The sequence below is a fragment of the Homo sapiens genome, chromosome 6 (genome assembly GCF_000001405.40).
Source record: "Homo sapiens chromosome 6, GRCh38.p14 Primary Assembly".
Lineage (NCBI taxonomy): Eukaryota > Metazoa > Chordata > Mammalia > Primates > Hominidae > Homo > Homo sapiens.
In genome coordinates, this window is record NC_000006.12 from 160,486,043 (window position 1) to 160,504,609 (window position 18,567).

At 41.9% G+C, this 18,567-nt stretch overlaps 1 pseudogene across 2 annotated transcripts in view, besides 1 other annotated feature; it reads right to left on the reverse strand.

The window, feature by feature from the left end:
• The window catches only part of LPAL2 (lipoprotein(a) like 2 (pseudogene)), a 44,570-nt pseudogene that overhangs the window by 19,488 nt on the left and 6,515 nt on the right, over nucleotides 1-18,567 (reverse strand). For both annotated transcript variants that reach the window (NR_028093.1, NR_028092.1), the window contains exons 2-4: nucleotides 14,739-14,898; nucleotides 6,739-6,920; nucleotides 1,209-1,390 (exon numbers count right to left, since the gene is read on the reverse strand). The product of NR_028093.1 is annotated as a lipoprotein(a) like 2 (pseudogene), transcript variant 2 (transcript). The remainder of the gene's footprint in view (nucleotides 1-1,208; nucleotides 1,391-6,738; nucleotides 6,921-14,738; nucleotides 14,899-18,567) is intronic.
• Nucleotides 258-1,457: an enhancer, noted in NCBI's record as "CDK7 strongly-dependent group 2 enhancer chr6:160907332-160908531 (GRCh37/hg19 assembly coordinates)". NCBI's record gives its function as "activates an origin of replication core promoter dependent on BRD2, BRD4, P300/CBP, MED14 and CDK7 cofactors, with strong dependence on CDK7, by STARR-seq in HCT116 cells {active_cell/tissue: HCT116}" and the evidence as "EXISTENCE:reporter gene assay evidence [ECO:0000049][PMID:35650434]".

An 18,567-nucleotide genomic window follows, 5' to 3' on the forward strand; every position in this document is an offset into this window, starting at 1 on the left:
CCACAAACCAGAAATGAGTCTTCAAGAATTACAATCATTCTCTTTTTTTTATTTGTAAGCAGATGGACATGAGAAAACAAACAAACACAAAAGCAACAGATTCCTACCATTCTGGAAATGTAGTAAGTTCTTCTAAATATTTCATATAAAAGCTTAGAGAAAAACAACAGTTCAGAGTCCTTTTCATGGGAAACTGCTCTCACGTGCAAGCTCATCTCTAGGGATCTCTACTGAATGTTCATGGAGACAATGGGGCATGAGAGTACAAAGTGTGATGGATTTGGCAGTGCAGGCTTTAGGTGGCGATAGGCTGTTGAGGTCAGAGGTGGGGACAGACATGGAAACTTTGTGTGTTTCCTTAGACCCTTGATTACCAGAGCCCAGCCCTTCCGCTTCTGGGTGATCAGGCAGAAAACGGTTCTGTGTCTAGCACTGCAGGCAAAAACACTTCACTTATTAAGGATGGGAGAAGGCTAAAAGCTTATCCCCTTGGAGGAGAGACAAAATCCTCCTGTCCATTCTCTTTTCTTTATTCATAGTCTGATGAACATTCTGCATTGCAGTAAAGCAGAAGTCTACTACTCCTTCACTCCAGACCCCCCACAGGTACAAATTTCATCAGAAGTAAGTGCAAGAACACTGAGAAATCACTCCCTTCAAACTGAGGGCTGCAGAGCATTCCCAGGACTGAGGAAGGTCTGAAAGTTAGAGCCTGGGAGCTCACGTACTGCTCTACAGACCTAGGGTGATATGTAATTAATGCAGCCCTTCTATGTTTCTCAAGATTCACAGGCTCGAGAGCCCCATTTCTTGGAATCTACAATGCTGAAGATTGCATTGAATGCTGTCTATTAGAGGAAATCCTTGGAGAAGTTACTGGCTTGGAAATAGTCACACATCTGACAGCATGTTACAATAGGAATTTTGGATTGGACACTGAGATAGCCCGTTTTACAACAAGGTGAGTGGTGAAGTCGAGCACCCTGGAGGGTTTGTGCCCATCCTAAAGACACAGCCCACTCATGCTGCACCAAAAATTACTCCTCTGGCTCCCCCAGACACGGCACTGAGGATTCCTTTAACATGGCATATCTTCAGCCATAATTCAAGCACTCGTGTAGCATGGAAGGCTTCTGCATTAGCAAGAGTTTCCATGGCTTTTCTATGCAGCATCGAAGTGTGCTGATGTCTGGCCACAGACTTCTTACCTTGTTTGGAAGTATCCTCTCGTCTTGGAACCGGGATAATAGTCAGAGGCGCGGCCACAGCCCTATTCTTGTCTGAGCATCCTGTCAGGTTGCAGTACTCCCACCTGACTTTGGGATCCGTTGTATAACACCAAGGGCCTGCCGAACAATCCGGATTCCTGCAGTAGTTGGAGATCAAGCCACTGAAAATCACAAAACAATACACGTTAACAAGAGGTGGGACAATATGCAAGAATATCCGGCACCCTCTCCATTTTGCTGTAACAAGGTCATAACCAGTGCCTTTGAAATATTCCCGTTATGGGTACCATATGATTGCCACAAGCATGAATGGCTCTCAAATTCTCATCCACTCTGCACATTTCTAATAGGTAATAGATTTTAACTGTTTTTTTTTTAAGACCTGAAGTAGCAAATTCCTTTTAGAAACACTGAAATAATACATACATGTGGCCTAGAAGGGATGAGAATATCCTCCTTCCACCTTTGGCCAATCCATCTCTCTGGAATAAACGGTACAGATTTTGATGTGTGTATTGTGGAATCACTTATACACATACAAGATTATCTCGATCTGTCTAGCTCTCTTTCTCTCTCTCTACAGGACTTCATATAGTATTGTGCAAGGTGGAACTAACATAGGGTTCCTCAACGAAATAATGGCATCCAGGATGATATCAATCCCAGGCCAGCCTTCTAACTCTATGTACTCAAAATGTAGTGAAAAGCCTCTATGTTACCCATGGAAAACCATCGTGCAAATAGTATTGCTGTCTCTCGATGCCGTATCAGGTGAGTGAAAAGGTTTGTTTCTTCAAGACTTATAAAAGCTGCCCTAGAAAACAAGTTCCCAGACATGATGCAGTACCTCTAGGATGCATCCCTGGACAGGACCTCATCTCCTGCTCTCAGTCCATCCTCTACTGGTGGCAGCCACTCTGGGACTGAAGGAATGGGGAATGAGTTGAAAGAACAGTATGACTCAAGGCATAATGGGAGATGGCTGAATAGACTATGAGATCTGAAAAGGTCAGGCAGCTACAGAGTTGTCAGCAAACAATGGCGCTAAGAGGCAAAGCAACTGAGAATCCCGTACTGGGTGTATCTTGGAGCATTTGCCTTTTGTTATGACTCCCAGGAACATTGCTCCAACCTCTCAGAATTCTTACATTCATGACCTGTGGCTGTCTGTGAAGATGAGAAATGTATTATGGGCCATGGGGATCCAACACCTCTCTCTAGAAAATCTACACATGTGAGCTAGTCTCAAGCACAGAATGTCCATTCCAGGAAGCTGATTCTCAGAGCATTTGGATGTGCTCAGAGCCAAGCAGTTGAAAGACTTCTTTTTCTTCCTTGGCTTCCCTCTTTTGGATACAAGGAGTCTTCTTGTTATAGAATATATTTCAGCCTTCAAAATTTAGGGATTGCTCTAGAATTTGCAATATCTCTCTGAAACCACATACTTCAACATTTTATTAATATTTTTAACCATCATAGATAAGGCAAGAAACTTACAATGGTATAATTCCTTTTATTTCCTATCTGATTTATGCCATGTTTTCAAATTTTTACTTCAAATATGCTAAAATAATATGTATTGCTGTCATTTTGCTTCAAGTAGTTAATGCTCATTTAAGTCAATTAAGAAATTTGATCAAGAAAATATTTTGCATTTACATCTACATTTGCCATTTGCTGCCTTCTTTATTATGTGGGATGCAGAAAGTTCCCCTCTTGCACTATTCTTCTTCTACCTGATTTCCTTTGGGTTACATCTTTTGTTACATAAGCCTGCTGATTTCAAATTCTTACAGTTTTGGGTTTGTTTCGGGGGGGTGCACAAGATGCATTTATACAACATTTATGATATTCAAGGTATTTTATTGCTTGATGTAGCATTCTCAGTATATCTCTTCTTTTTCCTGTGTATTGTTTGGACCATATTCCTTTGTATGCAGCTTGTCATGTTTCTGATGAGAACGCATTAGTCATTTGTATCACTGTTCCTCTAGCAGACACAGCTCTTTTTCCTCTAGTTTCTCATGGGATTTTTCTTGATACTGTATCTTTGTCTTCTGACAGACAAGCTGTGATGTACCAAAGTGCATCATAGAGTTTTCTTTTTGAAAATTCTCTTGCTGATCCATTGAGCTCCTTGAATCTGTAATCTTTTTATGCACCTCATTTTTGGAAGGTTTTCAGCCATCCTTGCTTCAAGTATTTGTTTCTGTTCCAATCTCTCATTCCTCTATTTCTGTGACTTCTTTCCCACATGTAGGAAATCTTTTATATTTTCCTTCATGTCTGTGAGGCTTGATTTCATTTTACAGTATCTGTGGATGTGTGTGTGTGTGTGTGTGTCTGTAACTTGTGCATCTGTGTGTGTGTGTGTGTGTAGCTGTTTCTTCAGCTTCTATGGGTTTGTTTTCAGTTAGTTTTTCTTCTTAACTTTTAACTGGATAGGGAGGCCATTCAGGAATTTTTTATTTAAGTCATACATTTCACTAGATTTTTAATTTGTTTTGACTTTTTTTTACTGTTACTTCCTCTTGATATTACATTTGTTTGGTTCCATATCCATGTTTTTTTAAATCCTAGAACTCAACTATCATACTGATATGCCCAATATTTATGCCATTCTTATCATTTCTGTCACCTCGGCCTATTTGTATTGACTGATTTTTCTCCGGGTCATGGATCACACTAAATGATTTTCAATGTGTAGGCAGATTTTAATTTTAGGACTCACACAGCTGATATCGCACAGCTGAGCCACTTGATTTTGTTGTTTACCTCTAAAGAAGGTTGAGTTTTTCTCTAGCAGGCAGTAACTTGACTTGGACACCATTTTGATGCTTGGACACCTGCCTTTCAGCCTTGCTAGGTTTTCTCTATAGCTGCCTTAATTCTAGGAATACACTAATTCTACTCCTAAAGTCTGGCTTTTCTGGGGTCTCTGCTGAATGCCCAAGATGTTCAGTGTGGTCACTCTCCTCTGGCTGGTCAGAACTCCAACCGCCCCCAGTGCTATCTCAGCTCTGTGAGCTTTATTGAGCTCACTGTTGCCTTGTAGTTGCTGTTCCTCAGTAGATGTCCTTTGCCCTAGTCTCTTGTGGAACATTTTTCTGTGCACAAAAAACTTTATGTTTAGTCAATGACTTGAAGAGATTTCTATACGTATTCCTAGAGCTCCTTTGCCCCACAAATCCGTTCTCATTCTTAGCTTGCCTAGAAAATCCTAGGTACCGGAAAATCCCAAACTCCAATCTCTCCTCCATTCAGCAAGATGGATACAGTCCACATGGGTTCCGTCTCCCTGCTCTTCCGTGCAGGAACGGTCCCAAGAAGAAAGCCAAGGAGGGCATCTGTGGAGTTGATCTCATTGTACTCCTTGTCACAATTCTCTCAGTCCTCTACCATCTGTTGTTTTACGTGTGGAAACCATTTTTCCATGTCCTTTGTAGCCACTTAGAGGAGAGAGACTGGCCATGAGTTGGTCAGACCCAGGCTTCTGTCCATCTGCCCACCCCTTTTATTTTTCAGCATCTGTCTCTTTGCTGTCTCTCATCAGCCTTCCTGCCTTTGCCCTTCTCTTTCTGGCACCTCATATCTGAGACCATTGCTGCTTGGGATCGAGTTTGTTTCTACCTATTGGAATAGACGTAGAAATAGAAAGCTTTGACTCTCCATAGATATGCACATACTCCTTCCTCGTGAGCCAAGACAGAAAGGGCCAACACAACTTTTACTTCAGGAATCAGAGGTTAGAATGATAGAATTCCAAGGTGGAAAGGCTGCATTGACTCTTACTGTGTGTTGTAGAAAACACTCTTAAGTGTTTGGTTATTTGTGGTCCTGACAGTTTTCGTAATGTGATCACCTCGCCTTCAGATAGCCTCCTGATGCATAAAGCTATGAGGAAGGAGAGCCAGATTAACATATCCTATCTCTGAGACCCTTTGCTTCAAGGCAATATTCCTGAGACATTTTGCTATGACCTCTACATCTGAAACAAGTTGAGTCCTGAGCACTTAGCTAGAAGCATGACTCTTCTAACAGAAACTTTAGTCAGCCCTTCCTTCTCTTATGGTAAAGAACAAAACGTATGCATTTGGGTACTGTTCCGGGGTCCTACTGTGCTGGTGTGGTGTCATAGATGACCAAGCTTGGCAGGTTCTTCCTGTGACAGTGGTGAAATATGTGCCTCGATAACTCTGTCCATTTCCATGGTAGCACTCCTGAACAGAAGGCCTTGGCTCTGTCGGTGCTAAAATTAAAACAGGAAAAATTAAGCTGTGTATCTCCTAGAACAGGGAAACAGTTGAAGCCATTTATGACACAAACCAGAAAGAAGTCTTGGAGAATTACGACCATTCTCTTTTTTTTATTTGTACACAGATGAACATGAGAAAACAAACAAACACCAAAAGAACAGATTCCTACCATTCTAGAAATGCAGTAAGTTCTTCCCAATATTTCATGTAAAAGCTTAGAGAAAAACAACAGTTCAGAGTGCTTCTTATGGAAAACTGCGCTCACGTGCAAACTGCTCTCTAGTGATCTCTACTGAATGTTCATGGGGATCACGGGGCATGAGAGAATAAAGGGCTACGCATTTGGCAGTGCAGACTGTAGATGGTGATTGGCTGCTGAGGGCGGAGGTGGGGACAGACATGGAAACCTCGCACGTTTCCCTAGACCATTGATCACGAGAGCCAAGGCCTTCAGCTTCTGGCTTCTGGCAGATTGGGAAGAAAACGGTTGTGCGTCTAGGACTGCAGGCAAAAATAGTTTGCTTCATAAGGATGGGTGGAGGCCAAAATCTTATCCCATTGGAAGAGAGATGGAATTTTCTCATGCCCCACATCCTGCATTGCAATAAAGCAGAAGTCTCCTACTCTTTCTCTCCAGACCCCCCACAAGTACAACTTCCATTAGAAAAAGGTGCAGGAACACTGAGAAATCACTCACTTCAAAGCCTAGGCCTGCAAATCTTGCCCAGGTCTGAGGAAGGCCTGAAAGATAGAGCCTTGGGAGCTCATGTAATGCTCCATGATGCAAGGGCAACATGGAATTAATGCAGCCCTGTTAAGTTTCTCAAGATTCACGGGCTTGAAAGCCACACATTTCTGAGAATCTGTGATGATGAAGATTGCACTGAATGTTGTCTACTTGAAGAAATCCCTGGAGAAGCTTACTGCATTGGAAAGAGACACATATCTGACAGCATGTTACAACAGGAATTTTGGACTGGACACTGAGATAACTCATTTTACAATGAAGTGAGTGGTGATGTCGAGCACCCTGGAGGGTTTGTGCCTATCCAAAGACACAGCCCACTCATGCTGCACCAAAAATTACTCCTCTGGCTCCCCCAGACACTGCACTGAGGATTCCTCCAAAATGGCAGATCCTCAATCAACATTGGAGCACCTGTGTAGAATGAAGCCTTCTGCATCAGTGGGAGTTTCCATGGCTTTTCTTCTTAGTGTCTAAGCGTGGAGATGTCTGGCCACAGACTTCTTACCTTGTATGAATGAATCCTCTAGGCTTGGAACTGGGATAACAGTCAGAGGCACGAACACAGTCCCTTCATCGTCTGAGCACCGTGTCAGGTTGCAGTACTCCCACCTGACATTGGGATCCGTCGTATAACACCAAGGGCCTGCCGAACAATCCGGATTCCTGCAGTAGTTCGAGATCAAGCCACTGAAAATCACAAAACAATACACGTTACAAGAGGTGGGACAATATGCAGGAACATCCAGCACCCTCTCCATTTTGCTGTAACAAGGTCATAACCAGTGCCTTTGAAATATTCCCATTAGAGGTACCATATGATTGCCACAAGCATGAATGGCTCTCAAATTCTCATCCACTCTGCACATTTCTAACAGGTAATAGATTTTAACTTTTTTTTTTAAGACCTAAAGTAGGAAATACCTCTTAGAAACACTGAAATAATACATACATGTGGCCTAGAAGGGATGAGAATATCCTCCTTCCATCTTTAGCCAATCCATCTCTCTGGAATACATGGTATAGATTTTGACGTGTGTATTGTGGAATCACTTATACACATACAAGAGTACCTTCATCTGTCTAGCTCTCTTTATCTGTCTCTACAGGACTTCATACAGTACTGCGAAAGGTGGAACTAACATAGAGTTCCTCAATGAAATAATGGCATCCAGGATGATATCAATCCCAGGCCAGCCTTCTAACTCTATGTACTCAAAATGTAGTGAAAAGCCTCTATGTTACCCATGGAAAACCATCGTGCAAACAGTATTGCTGTCTCTCGATGCTGTATCAGGTGAGTGAAAAGGTTTGTTTCTTCAAGACTTATAAAAGCTGCCCTAGAAAACTAGTTCCCAGACATGATGCAGTACCTCTAGGATGCATCCCTGGACAGGACCTCATCTCCTGCTCTCAGTCCATCCTCTACTGATGGCAGCCACTCTAAGGGTGACTGAGGGAATGGGGAATGAGTTGAAAGAACAGTATGACCCAAGGCATAATGGGAGATGGCTGAATAGACTATGAGATCTGAAAAGGTCTGGCAGCTACAGAGTCATTGGCAAACAATGGCGTAAGAGGCAAAGCAACCAAGAATCTCGCGCTGGGTGTATCTTGGAGCATTCATTCGCCTTTTGTTATGACTCCCAGGAACATTGCTCCAACCTCTCAGAATTCTCAGATTCACGACGTGAGGCTGTCTGTAAAGACAAGAAATGTATTATGGGCCATGGGGATCCAACTACTCTCTCTAGAAAATCTACACATGTGAGCTAGTCTCAAGCACAGAATGTCCATTCCAGGAAGCTGATTCTCAGAGCATTTGGATGTGCTCAGAGCCGAGTAGTTGAAAGACTTCTTTTTCTTCCTTGGCTTCCCTCTTGGATACATGGAGTCTTCTTGTTATAGAATATATTTCAGCCTTCGAAATTTAGGGATTGCTCTAGAATTTGCAATGTCTCTTTGAATGCACATATTTCAACCTTTTATTAATATTTTTTACCATCACAGATAAGGAAAGAAACTTACAGTGGTATAATTCCTTTTATTCCCTATCTGATTTATGCTACATTTTCAAATTTTTACTTCAAATGTGCTAAAATATATTGCTGTCATTTTGCTTCAAGTAGTTAATGCTCATTTAAGTCAATTAAGAAATTTGATCAAGAAAATATTTTGCATTTACATCTATGTGCCATTTGCTGCCTTCTTTATTATGTGGGATGCAGAAGGTTCTCCTCTCATACTATTCTTCTTCTACCTAATTTCCATTGGGTTACGTCTTTTGTTGCATAAGCCTGCTGATTCCAAATTCTTATAGTTTTTGGTTTCCTTGTTTCGGGAGTGCACAAGATGCATTTACACAACATTGATGATATTCAAGGTATTTTCTTGCTTGATGTAGCATTCTCAGTATATCTCTTCTTTTTCCTGTGTATTGTTTTAAGATATCCCTTTGTACGCAGCTTGCCATGTTTCTGATGAGAACGCATTAGTCATTTGCATCACTGTTCCTCTAGCAGACACAGCTCTTTTTCCTCTGGTTTCTCATGGGATTTTTCTTGATACTGTATCTTTGTCTTCTGACAGACAAGCTGTGAGGTAACAAAGTGCATCACAGAGTTTTCTTTTTGCAAATTCTCTTGCTGATCCATTGAGCTCCTTGAATCTGTAATCTTTTTATGTACCTCATTTTTGGAAGGTTTTCAGCCATCCTTGCTTCAAGTATTTGTTTCTGTTCCAATCTCTTATTCCGCTATTTCTGTGACTTCTTTCCCACATGTAGGAAATCTTTTTATATTTTCCTCCCTGTCTGTGAGGCTTGGTAGATTTCATTTTACAGTATTTGTGGATGTGTGTGTGTGTGTCTGTTTATAAGTTGTGTATCTGTGAGAGTGTGTGTGTGTAGCTGTTTCTTTAGCTTCTATGGATTTTTTTTTTCAGTTAGTTGTTCTTCTTAAACTTCTAACAGGATAGGGAGGCCATTTAGTAATTTTTTATTTAACACATCCTTTTCACTAGATTTTTGATTTGACTTTTTTATACTGTTAATTCCTCTTGCTATTACATCTGTTTGGTTCCATATCCATGTTTTTTTAAATCCTAGAACTCAGTTATCATACTGATATGCCCAATATTTATGCCATTCTTATCATTTCTGTCACCTGGGCCTATTCATATTGACTGATGTTTCTCCTGGTCATGGATCACACTAAATGATTTTCAGTGTGTAGGCAGATTTTAGTTTTAGGACTCACACTACTGATATTGCATAGTTGAGCCACTTGGTTTTGTTGTTTACCTGTAAAGAAGGTTGAGTTTTTCTCTAGCAGGCAGTAACTTGACTTGGACACCATTTCGATGCTTGGACACTTGCTTTTCAGCTTTGCTAGGTTTCTCTGGAGCTGCCTTAATTCCAGGAATATGCTAATTCTACTCCTAAAGTCTGGCTTTTCTGGGGTCTCTACTGAATGCCCAAGATGTTCAGTGTGATCACTCTCCTCTAGCTGGTCAGAACTCCAACCGCCCCAGTGCTATGTCAGCTTTATTGAGCTCACTGTTGTCTTGTAGTTGCTGTTCCTCAGTAGATGTCCTGTGCCCTAGTCTCTTGTGGAACATTTTTCTGTGCACAAGGAGCTTTATGTTTAGCCAATGACTTGACGAGACTTCTAAATGTATTCCTAGAGCTCCTTTGTCCCACAAATCCGTTCTCATTCTTAGCTGTCCTAGAAAATCCTAGCTGCCTGAATAATGCCAAACTCCAGTCTCTCCTCCATTCAGCAAGATGGATACAGTCTGCATGGATTCCGTCTCCCTGCTCTTCAGTGCAGGAACGGCATCCAAGAAGAAAGCCAGGGAGGGCATCTGTGGAGTTGATCTCATTGTTCTCCTTCTCGCAATTCTCTCAGTCCTCTACCATCTGTTGTTTAACGTGTGGAAACCGTTTTTCCAGGTCTTTTGTAGCTATTTAGAGCAGAGAGACTGGCCATGAGTTGGTCAGACCCGGCTTCTGTCCATGTACCCACCCCTTTTATTTTTCAGCATCTGTCTCTTTGCTGTCTCTCATCAGCCTTCCTGCCTTTGCCCTTTTCTTTCTGGCACCTCATATCTTTTCAGACCATTGATGCTTGGGATCGAGTGTGTTTCTACCCATTGGAATAGATGTAGAAATAGAAAGAGATTCGACTCTCCATAGATATGCACATACTCCTTCCTCGTGAGCCAAGACAGAAAAGGCCAACACAACTTTTACTTCGGGAATCAGAGGTTAGAATGATAGAATTCCAAGGTGGAAAGGCTGCATTGACTCTTACTGTGTGTTGTAGAAAACACTCTAAGTGTTTGGTCATTTGTGGTCCTGACAGTTTTCGTAATGTGATCACCTCGCCTTCAGATAGCCTCCTGATGCATAAAGCTATGAGGAAGGAGAGCCAGATTAACATTTCTTATCTCTGAGACCCTTTGCTTCAAGGCAATATTCCTGAGACATTTTGCTATGCCCTCTACATCTGACACAATTTGATTCCTGAGCACTTAGCTAGAAGCACGTCTCTTCTAACAGAAACTTCAGTCAGCCCTTCCTTCTCAGGTGGGATGATATGCAGGGCACCCAGCACCCAGCACCCTCTCAATTTTGCTGTAACAAAGTCATAACCAGTGCCTTTGAAATATTCCCATTAAAGGTACCATACAATTGCTACAAGCATGAATGGCTCTCAAATTCTCATCCTCTCTGCACATTTGTAATATCTAATAGATTTTAACTGTTTTTTTTTTAAGACCTAAGTAGCAAATGTTTCTTAGAAGCAAAGAAATAATACATACATGAGGGCTAGGAGGGATCCGAATACCCTCCTTTAGCCTTTGGCCAATCCATCTCTCTGGAATACCTGGTATGGATTTTGATGTGTGTATTGTGGAATTGCTTATGCACATACAAGAGTATTTTCATCCGTCTAGCCCTCTTGATCTCTCTCTATAGGACTTTATAAAGTATTGTGCAAAGTGGAACTAACATAGAGTTCTCCAAAGAAAAAATGCCATCCAGGACGATATCATTTCCAGGCCAGCCTTCCAACTCTATGTACTCAAAGTGTAGTAAAAAGCCTCAGTGTTAGCCATGGAAAACCATCGTGAAAATAGTATTACTGTCTGTAGACACTGTATCAGGTGGGTCTAGAATATTTCTTTCTGCAAGACTTATCAAAGCTGCCCTAGAAAACTGGTTCTCAGGCAGGATGCAGTATCTCTAGGATGGGTCCCTGGACACGACCTCGTCTCCTGCTCTCACTCCATTCTCTAGTGGCAGCAGCCACTCTGGGACTGAGGGCATGGGGGATGAGTTGAAAGAACAGTGGGACCCAAGGCGTAAAGGGAGATGGTTGAATGAACTATGAGATCTGAAGAGGTCGGGCAGCTACGGAGGAGTCAGCAAACAATGTAGTAAAAGGCAAAGCAGGTGAGAATTCCGTGTTTGGTGTATCTTGGAGCATTCGCTCCCCCTTATGACTCCCAGAAACATTGCTCCAACCTCTCAGAATTCTCAACATTCACGACCTGTGGCTGTTTGTGAAAATGGGAAATGTATTATGCGCCATGGGGATCCAACACTGTCTCTCTAGAGACTCTACACATGTGACCTAGTCTCAACCCCAGACCCTCCATTCCAAGAACCTGGTTCTCTGAGCATTTGGAGGTGCTCAGACCAGAGCAGTTGAAAGACTTCTTTTTCTTCTTTGGCTGTCCTCTTTTCAATACATGGAATATTCTTGTTATAGAAAATACTTTAGCATTCAAAATTTTGTGATTACTCTAGAATTTGCAATATCCCATGAACCCAAACAACTTTTTATTAATATTTGTTACCATCATTGATAAGACAAGAAACTTACAATGATATAATTCTTTTATTCCCTACATGATTTATGCTATGTTTTCAAGTTTTTACTTCTACATATGCTAAAATAATATATATTGCTGACATTTTACTTCAAGTTGTCAACTCTTATTTAAGGCAATAAAGAAATTTGAACAAGAAAATATTTTGCATTTACATCTACATTTGCCATTTGCTGGCTTCTTCATTACCTGGGATGCAGAAAGTTCCCCTCTTGTACTATTCTTCTACCTATTTTCCTATCGGTCACACTTTTTGTTACGTAAGTGTCCTGATTCCAAATTTTTATAGTTTTTGGTTTTCTTGTTTGGGGAATTGCAAAATACGCATTTATACAACATTGATGATATTGAAGGCATTTTATGGCTGGATGTAGCATTCTCAGTTGATCTCTTTTTTTTTTTCCTGTTTATCATTTTGATGATATTCCTTTGTATGTGGCTTGCCATATTTCTGATGAGAACACATTAGCCATTTGTATCACTGTTCCTCTAGAAAGACACAGCACTTTTTCCTCTGGTTTCTCTGAGATTTTTATGATACTATGTCGTTGTCTTGATAGTCGAACTGTAATGTATCAAAGTGCATCATAGAATTTTCTTTTTGAAAATTCTCTTTCTGACATATTGAGCTTCTTGTACCTGTAATTTTTAAATGTTCATTATATTTGGAAGGTTTTAAGCCACTTTTGCTTCAGGTATTTATTTCTGTTCCAGTTTCTCATTCCTCTACTTCTGTGACTTGCTTCCCACATGAAGAAAATCTTTGCATGTTTTCCTTCATGTCTGTGAGGCTTGGTTGATTCAATTTTACCGCATTTGTGGATGTGTGTGTGTGTTTGTAAGGTTGTGCATGTGTGAGTGTGTGTGTGTGTGTGTGTGTGTGTGCATGTAGCTGCTTCTTTAGCTTCTATGGATTTTTTTTTCAGTTAATTTTTTTTCTGAAACTTCTAACTGGATGAGGAGGCAATCCAGTGATTTTTTTTTTTATTTAAGACATACCTTTTACTAGATTTTTAATTTAATTTGGCTCTTTTATACTGTTACTTCCTCTTGATATTACATCTGATAGTTCCATATCCATGTTTTCTTAAATCCTAGAACTCAGTTATCATACTGATATGTCCAATTTTTATGCCACTTTTATCATTTCTGTCACCTGGGCCTATTTGTATTGACTGATGTTTCTCCTGGTCATGGATCACACTAAGTGATTTTCTATGTGTAGGTAGATTTTAAATTTTGGACTCACACTGCGGATATTGCATAGTTGAGCCACTTGATTTTGTTGTTTACCTCTAAAGAAGGTTGAGTTTTCCTCTGGCAGGCAGTTAATTGACTTGGACACCATTTTGATGCTTGGAAACTTGCTTTTCAGCTTTGCTAGGGTTTGTCTGGAGCTGCCTTTATTATAGGAATATACTAATTTTATGTCTAAAGTCTGGCTTTTCTGGGGTCTCTACTGAATGCCCAAGTTGTTCAGTGAGGTCTCTCTCCTTTGGCTGGTCAGAACTCCAGTCTCCAGCAGTGCTATGTGAGCTCTTTCATCTTTATTGAGCTCACTGTTCCCTTGTAGTTGCTGTTCCTCAGGAGATATCCTTTGCCCTACTCTCTTGTGAAACCTTTTTCTGTGCACAAGCAGCTTTATGTTTAGCCAATGACTTGAGGAGATTCTATACGTATTCCTACAGCTCCTTTCCTCCACAAATCCATTCTCATTCTTAGCTGGCCTAGATCAGCCTACCTGAGTAATCCCAAACTCCAATCCCTCTCCTTCATTAAGGAACATGGCTACAGTCCATTTGGGCTCCATCTCTCCACTCTTAGGGAAGGGTCTCCAAGAAGAAAGCCAAGAAGGGCATCTACGGAGTTGATCTCATTGTTCCCCCTCTCGCAACTCTCTCGGTCCTCTACCGTCTGTTGTCCAACATGTGGAAACCATTTTTCTATGTCTTTGGTAGCCACTTATGGCAGAGAAACTGGCAATGGGGTGGTCAGACCTGGGCTTCTGTCCATCTATCTGCCCCTTTTACTTTTCAGCATCTGTCTGTTTGCTGACTCTCATCTGCCTTCCTGCCTTTGCTCTTTTCTTCCTGGCAAACCGTATCTTTTAGATCACTGGTGCTCAGGACTGAGTGTGCTTCTACCCATTGGAATAGATGTAGATACAGAAAGAGAGAGCTTTGCCTCTCCACAGAATTGCACATATGCTATCCTTGTGAGCCAAGATAGAAAAGAACAACGCAACCTTCACTTCAAGAATCGGAGGTCAGAATGCTAGAGTTCAAAGGTGGAAAGGCTGCAGTGACCCTTAGTGTGTGTTGTGGAAGGGTACGCTAAGTGTTTGGTCATTTGTGGTCCTGATATTTTTCTTAATGTGATCTCCTCACCTCCAGATATGCTCCTGCTCTATCAAGCTAGGAGGAAGGAGAGGCAGCTTAACATTTCTCTTCTCTCAGACCCTTTGCTCCAAGGCAATGTTCCTGAGACATTTTGCTACGCCCTCTGCATCTGACACAAGTTGAGTCCTGAGCAGTCAGCTTGAAGCATGACTCTTCTAACAGAAACTTCAGTTGGCCCTTCCTTCTCTTATGGTAAAGAACAAATACATACTCATTTGGGTACTTTTCTGGGGTTCTACTGTGCTGGTGTGGCGTCATAGATGACCAAGCTTGGCAGGTTCTTCCTGTGACAGTGGTGAAGTATGTGCCTCGATAACTCTGTCCATTACTGTGGTAGCACTCCTGCACAGAAGGCCCTGTCTCAGTCGGTGCTGAAATCAAAACAGAAAAAATTAAGCTGAGTATTTCTTAGAACAGTGAAACAGGTAAAGCCATTTATAACAGAAAACAGAAAGGAGTCTCTGAAAATTATGACCGTTCTCATTTCTTTATTTGTAGGCAAATGGAAATGAGAAACAAACACCAAAACAACAGATTCCTACCATTCTAGAAGTGTAGTAAGTTCTTAGAAATATTTCACCTAAAAGTTTAGAGAAAAACAACAGATCAGAGTGATTCTCATGGGAAACTGCACTCACATGCAAACTGGTCTTTAGGGATCTCTACTGAATGTTCATGGCGACCATGGGGCATGAGAGAACAAAGGGCAATGTATTTGGTGGTGCAGGCTGTAGGTGGTGACTGGGTGTCGAGGGCAGAGGTGGGGACAGACATGGAAACCTTGCATGTTTCCCTAGACCATTGATCACAAGAGCCAAGGCCTTCAGCTTCTTGGCGATTGGGCAGAAAATGGTTCTGCATCTACTACTGCAGGCAAAAACACTATGCTTCTTAGTGGTGGGTGGAGGCCAAAAGCTTATCCCATTGGAGGAGAGATGTAACTTTCTTGTGCCCCACATCCTGCATTGCAATAAAGCAGAAGTCTCCTACTCTTTCTCTCCAGACACCCCACAGGTAAAAGTTTCATCAGAACGAGGTGCAAGAACCCTGAGAAATCACTGTCTTCAAAGCCTAGGGGTGCAGAACCTGCCTAGGACTGAGGAAGGCCTGAAATATAGAGCATTGGGAGCTCATGTACCGCTCCATAGACACAGGGCATTATGGAATTATTCCAACCTTGTTAGCTTTCTCGAGATTTATAGGCTTGAGAGTCATGTTTCTCAGAATCTGCAATGCTAAAGATTGCACTGGATGCTCTCTACTTTATGATATCTTGGAGAAGCTTACTGGCTTGGAAAAAGTCATCCATCTGACAGCATGTTTCATTAGGAATTTTGGGCTCCAAACAGCATCCCTATCTGCCACTAACATGTCAAGCACCACTGGATCTGCTGGGTCATATGGCCCAAGTGGCAGAGCAGCTTGCACAGCAGCCTGATTCTGTTGCAGAGCCTTCTCTTGTTCTCGACTTCACTCAAAACTGGCAGCCTTTCAGGTCACTAAATAAATGGGCCAGAGTAACAGACCCAAATGAGGAAGGTGTTGCCTCCAAAATCCAAGTAGGCCCACTAGGCATTGTACCTCTTTCTTGGTTGTAGGAGGGTTCAAATTCAGCAACTTATGCTTCACCTTAGAAGGAATAGCTCCATAGGCCTTACACCTCTGAACCGCTAGAAATTTTACTGAGGTAGAAGGTCCCTAAATTTTAGTCAGATTTATTTCCTATCCTCTGGCATCAAATGTCTCACCAGTAAGTACAATGTGTTTACTACTTCTTGCTCACTGGATCCAATCAGCATAATATCATCAATATAATGGACCAGTGTGATATCTTGCAGAAGTGAAAAGTGATTAAGGTCTCTCGAATAAGATTATGACACAAAGCTGGAGAGTTGTTATACCCTTGAGGTAGGACAGTAAAGGTATATTATTGGCCTTGTCAGCTGAAGGTCAATTGCTTCTGATGGGCCTTATGGACAGGAATGGAGAAAAAGGCATTTGCCAAGTCAATGGCCGCATATTAGGTACAAGAACATGTGTTAATTTGCTCAAGCAATGAAAGCACATCTGGTAGAGCAGCTGCAATTGGAGTCACCACTAGGTTAAGCTTACAATAACCCACTGTCATTCTCCAAGATCCATCTGTCCTCTGCACAGGCCAAATGGGGGAGTTGAACAGGGATGTGGTAGAATCACCACCCCCTCATCTTTCAAGTTCTTGACGGTGATGTCAATCTCTGCAATCCCTCCAAGGATATAATATTGTTTTTGATTTACTATTTTTCTAGGTAGAGGCAACTCTAATGGCTTCAATTTGGCCTTTCCCATCCATAACAGCCCTCACCCTACCAGTAAGGGAGCCAATGTGGGGTTTCTGCCAGCTGCTAAGTATGTCTATGCCAATTAGGCAGTTTGGCACTGGGGAAATGACCACAGGATAAGTCCAGGTACTAACTGGACCCAGTGTAAGTCAGACATGAACTAAAATGCCATTAATTACCTGACCTCCATATGCCCCTACTTTAACTGGAGGACCACAATGATGTTTTGTGTTTTCTGGGATCAACATCAGCTCAGAGCCAGTTTTCAGTAGTTTCCAAAACGTCTGATTATTTCCCTGTCCCCAGTGCACAGTTACCCTGGTAAAAGGCCAGAGGTGTCCTTGGGAAGGATGGGAGAAAGATAAACACCATAAATTGTTGGTAGCTTAGTAGGGTGCTTCCTTAAGGGGACCCAGCCTCCCCTTTATTCAAGGGCTTCTGGGTCTGTAAACTGGCTCGAGTCTGGAAATTAATTGAGGGGCCATGATTCTGTGTCTTAATAATTCAGATTAGTCTTTTGTCCATTCTACCTGGTAGTTTTCTGTTTATATAAATTAAGTAGGAATGCAGTAGGCTTTCTATCAATTTCACTTCTAGGAACATCGTGATTAATTAGCCAGTGCCAGAGCTCTACACGAGTCAGACTATTCTGATTGTTGCTTTGCCTCTGCTGTGCATTATGGTAGCTATACCCAGCATTCCTCTGATGGGTCAGTGTTGCCACTTGGTCCCTGGCCCTCAGGATCCAATTATTCCCATTGTATTTAAATTTTGTAGTTGAGTGACTGTGGTTCCCACTGTTAGATCTGACATACAGAGAAGAGCAATTACAGGGCTCTTGAAAAATGCAGGTGCTACCCTCACAAAACTATTTCACAAAGCATTGGTCAAGGGTATATATTCTGGACCCTCCCAGCTGGGATGAGTAGGTCTAAAGTGACTAATCCAACACCACCATCCTAATCTCCCTAAGCCTTTGGACCCCTTCCTCTACATTAAACTAAGGGAGATCAGGCATTTCCAGCTCACTCACAGCAGGCCATCTTTTAATCTATATTTCGGGTAATCAAGCAAATAAACTATTAGAACCTTTTTTAAGTCCCCAAGCTGCAACATTAAATGCAGAATCCCTACTTAGTAGGCCCACATTAATAAATTCAGCCTGATCCAACTCTATGTTACTTCCACCATTATCCCAGACCCTTAATATCCATTCCCATGCCTGTTCTCCATATTTCTGCTTATATAAATTAGAAAACTCAAGCAATTCTTTTAGAGTGTAATGCATCTCCTCATGGGTCACACTCTGAACCTCACCTCTTGGGCCCAACAGGACTTTAGTCTAGTTGTAGGTCTAGAAGCAAACAAGGGCATTGGAGATGCCTCCTAAGGAGAATCAACATTATCTTGCCTGGCAACTGCCTCACGGGAGGCCGTCACTGTTGCCTCAAGCAGCGCAGGGTTCACATCCTCAGACAAAGGTGGAAAGGCTAATGGCAGCATGGGTCAGGGAGGGGATGTTGCCAGTACTGAGGATGGGGAAGCTGTTTCTTTTCGCAAAAAAAGGTTAATCAAAGTTCATAAATTCAGTGTCCTCAGTTTCATCAGGGTCCTCTCACATGTCCCCATTCCAAGTTACAGGGTTCCATTCTTTTCTATTCAATGCCCTCACTTTAACAGTAGACACCTGGCAGGGCTGGGCATGCACCTTTCATTGCA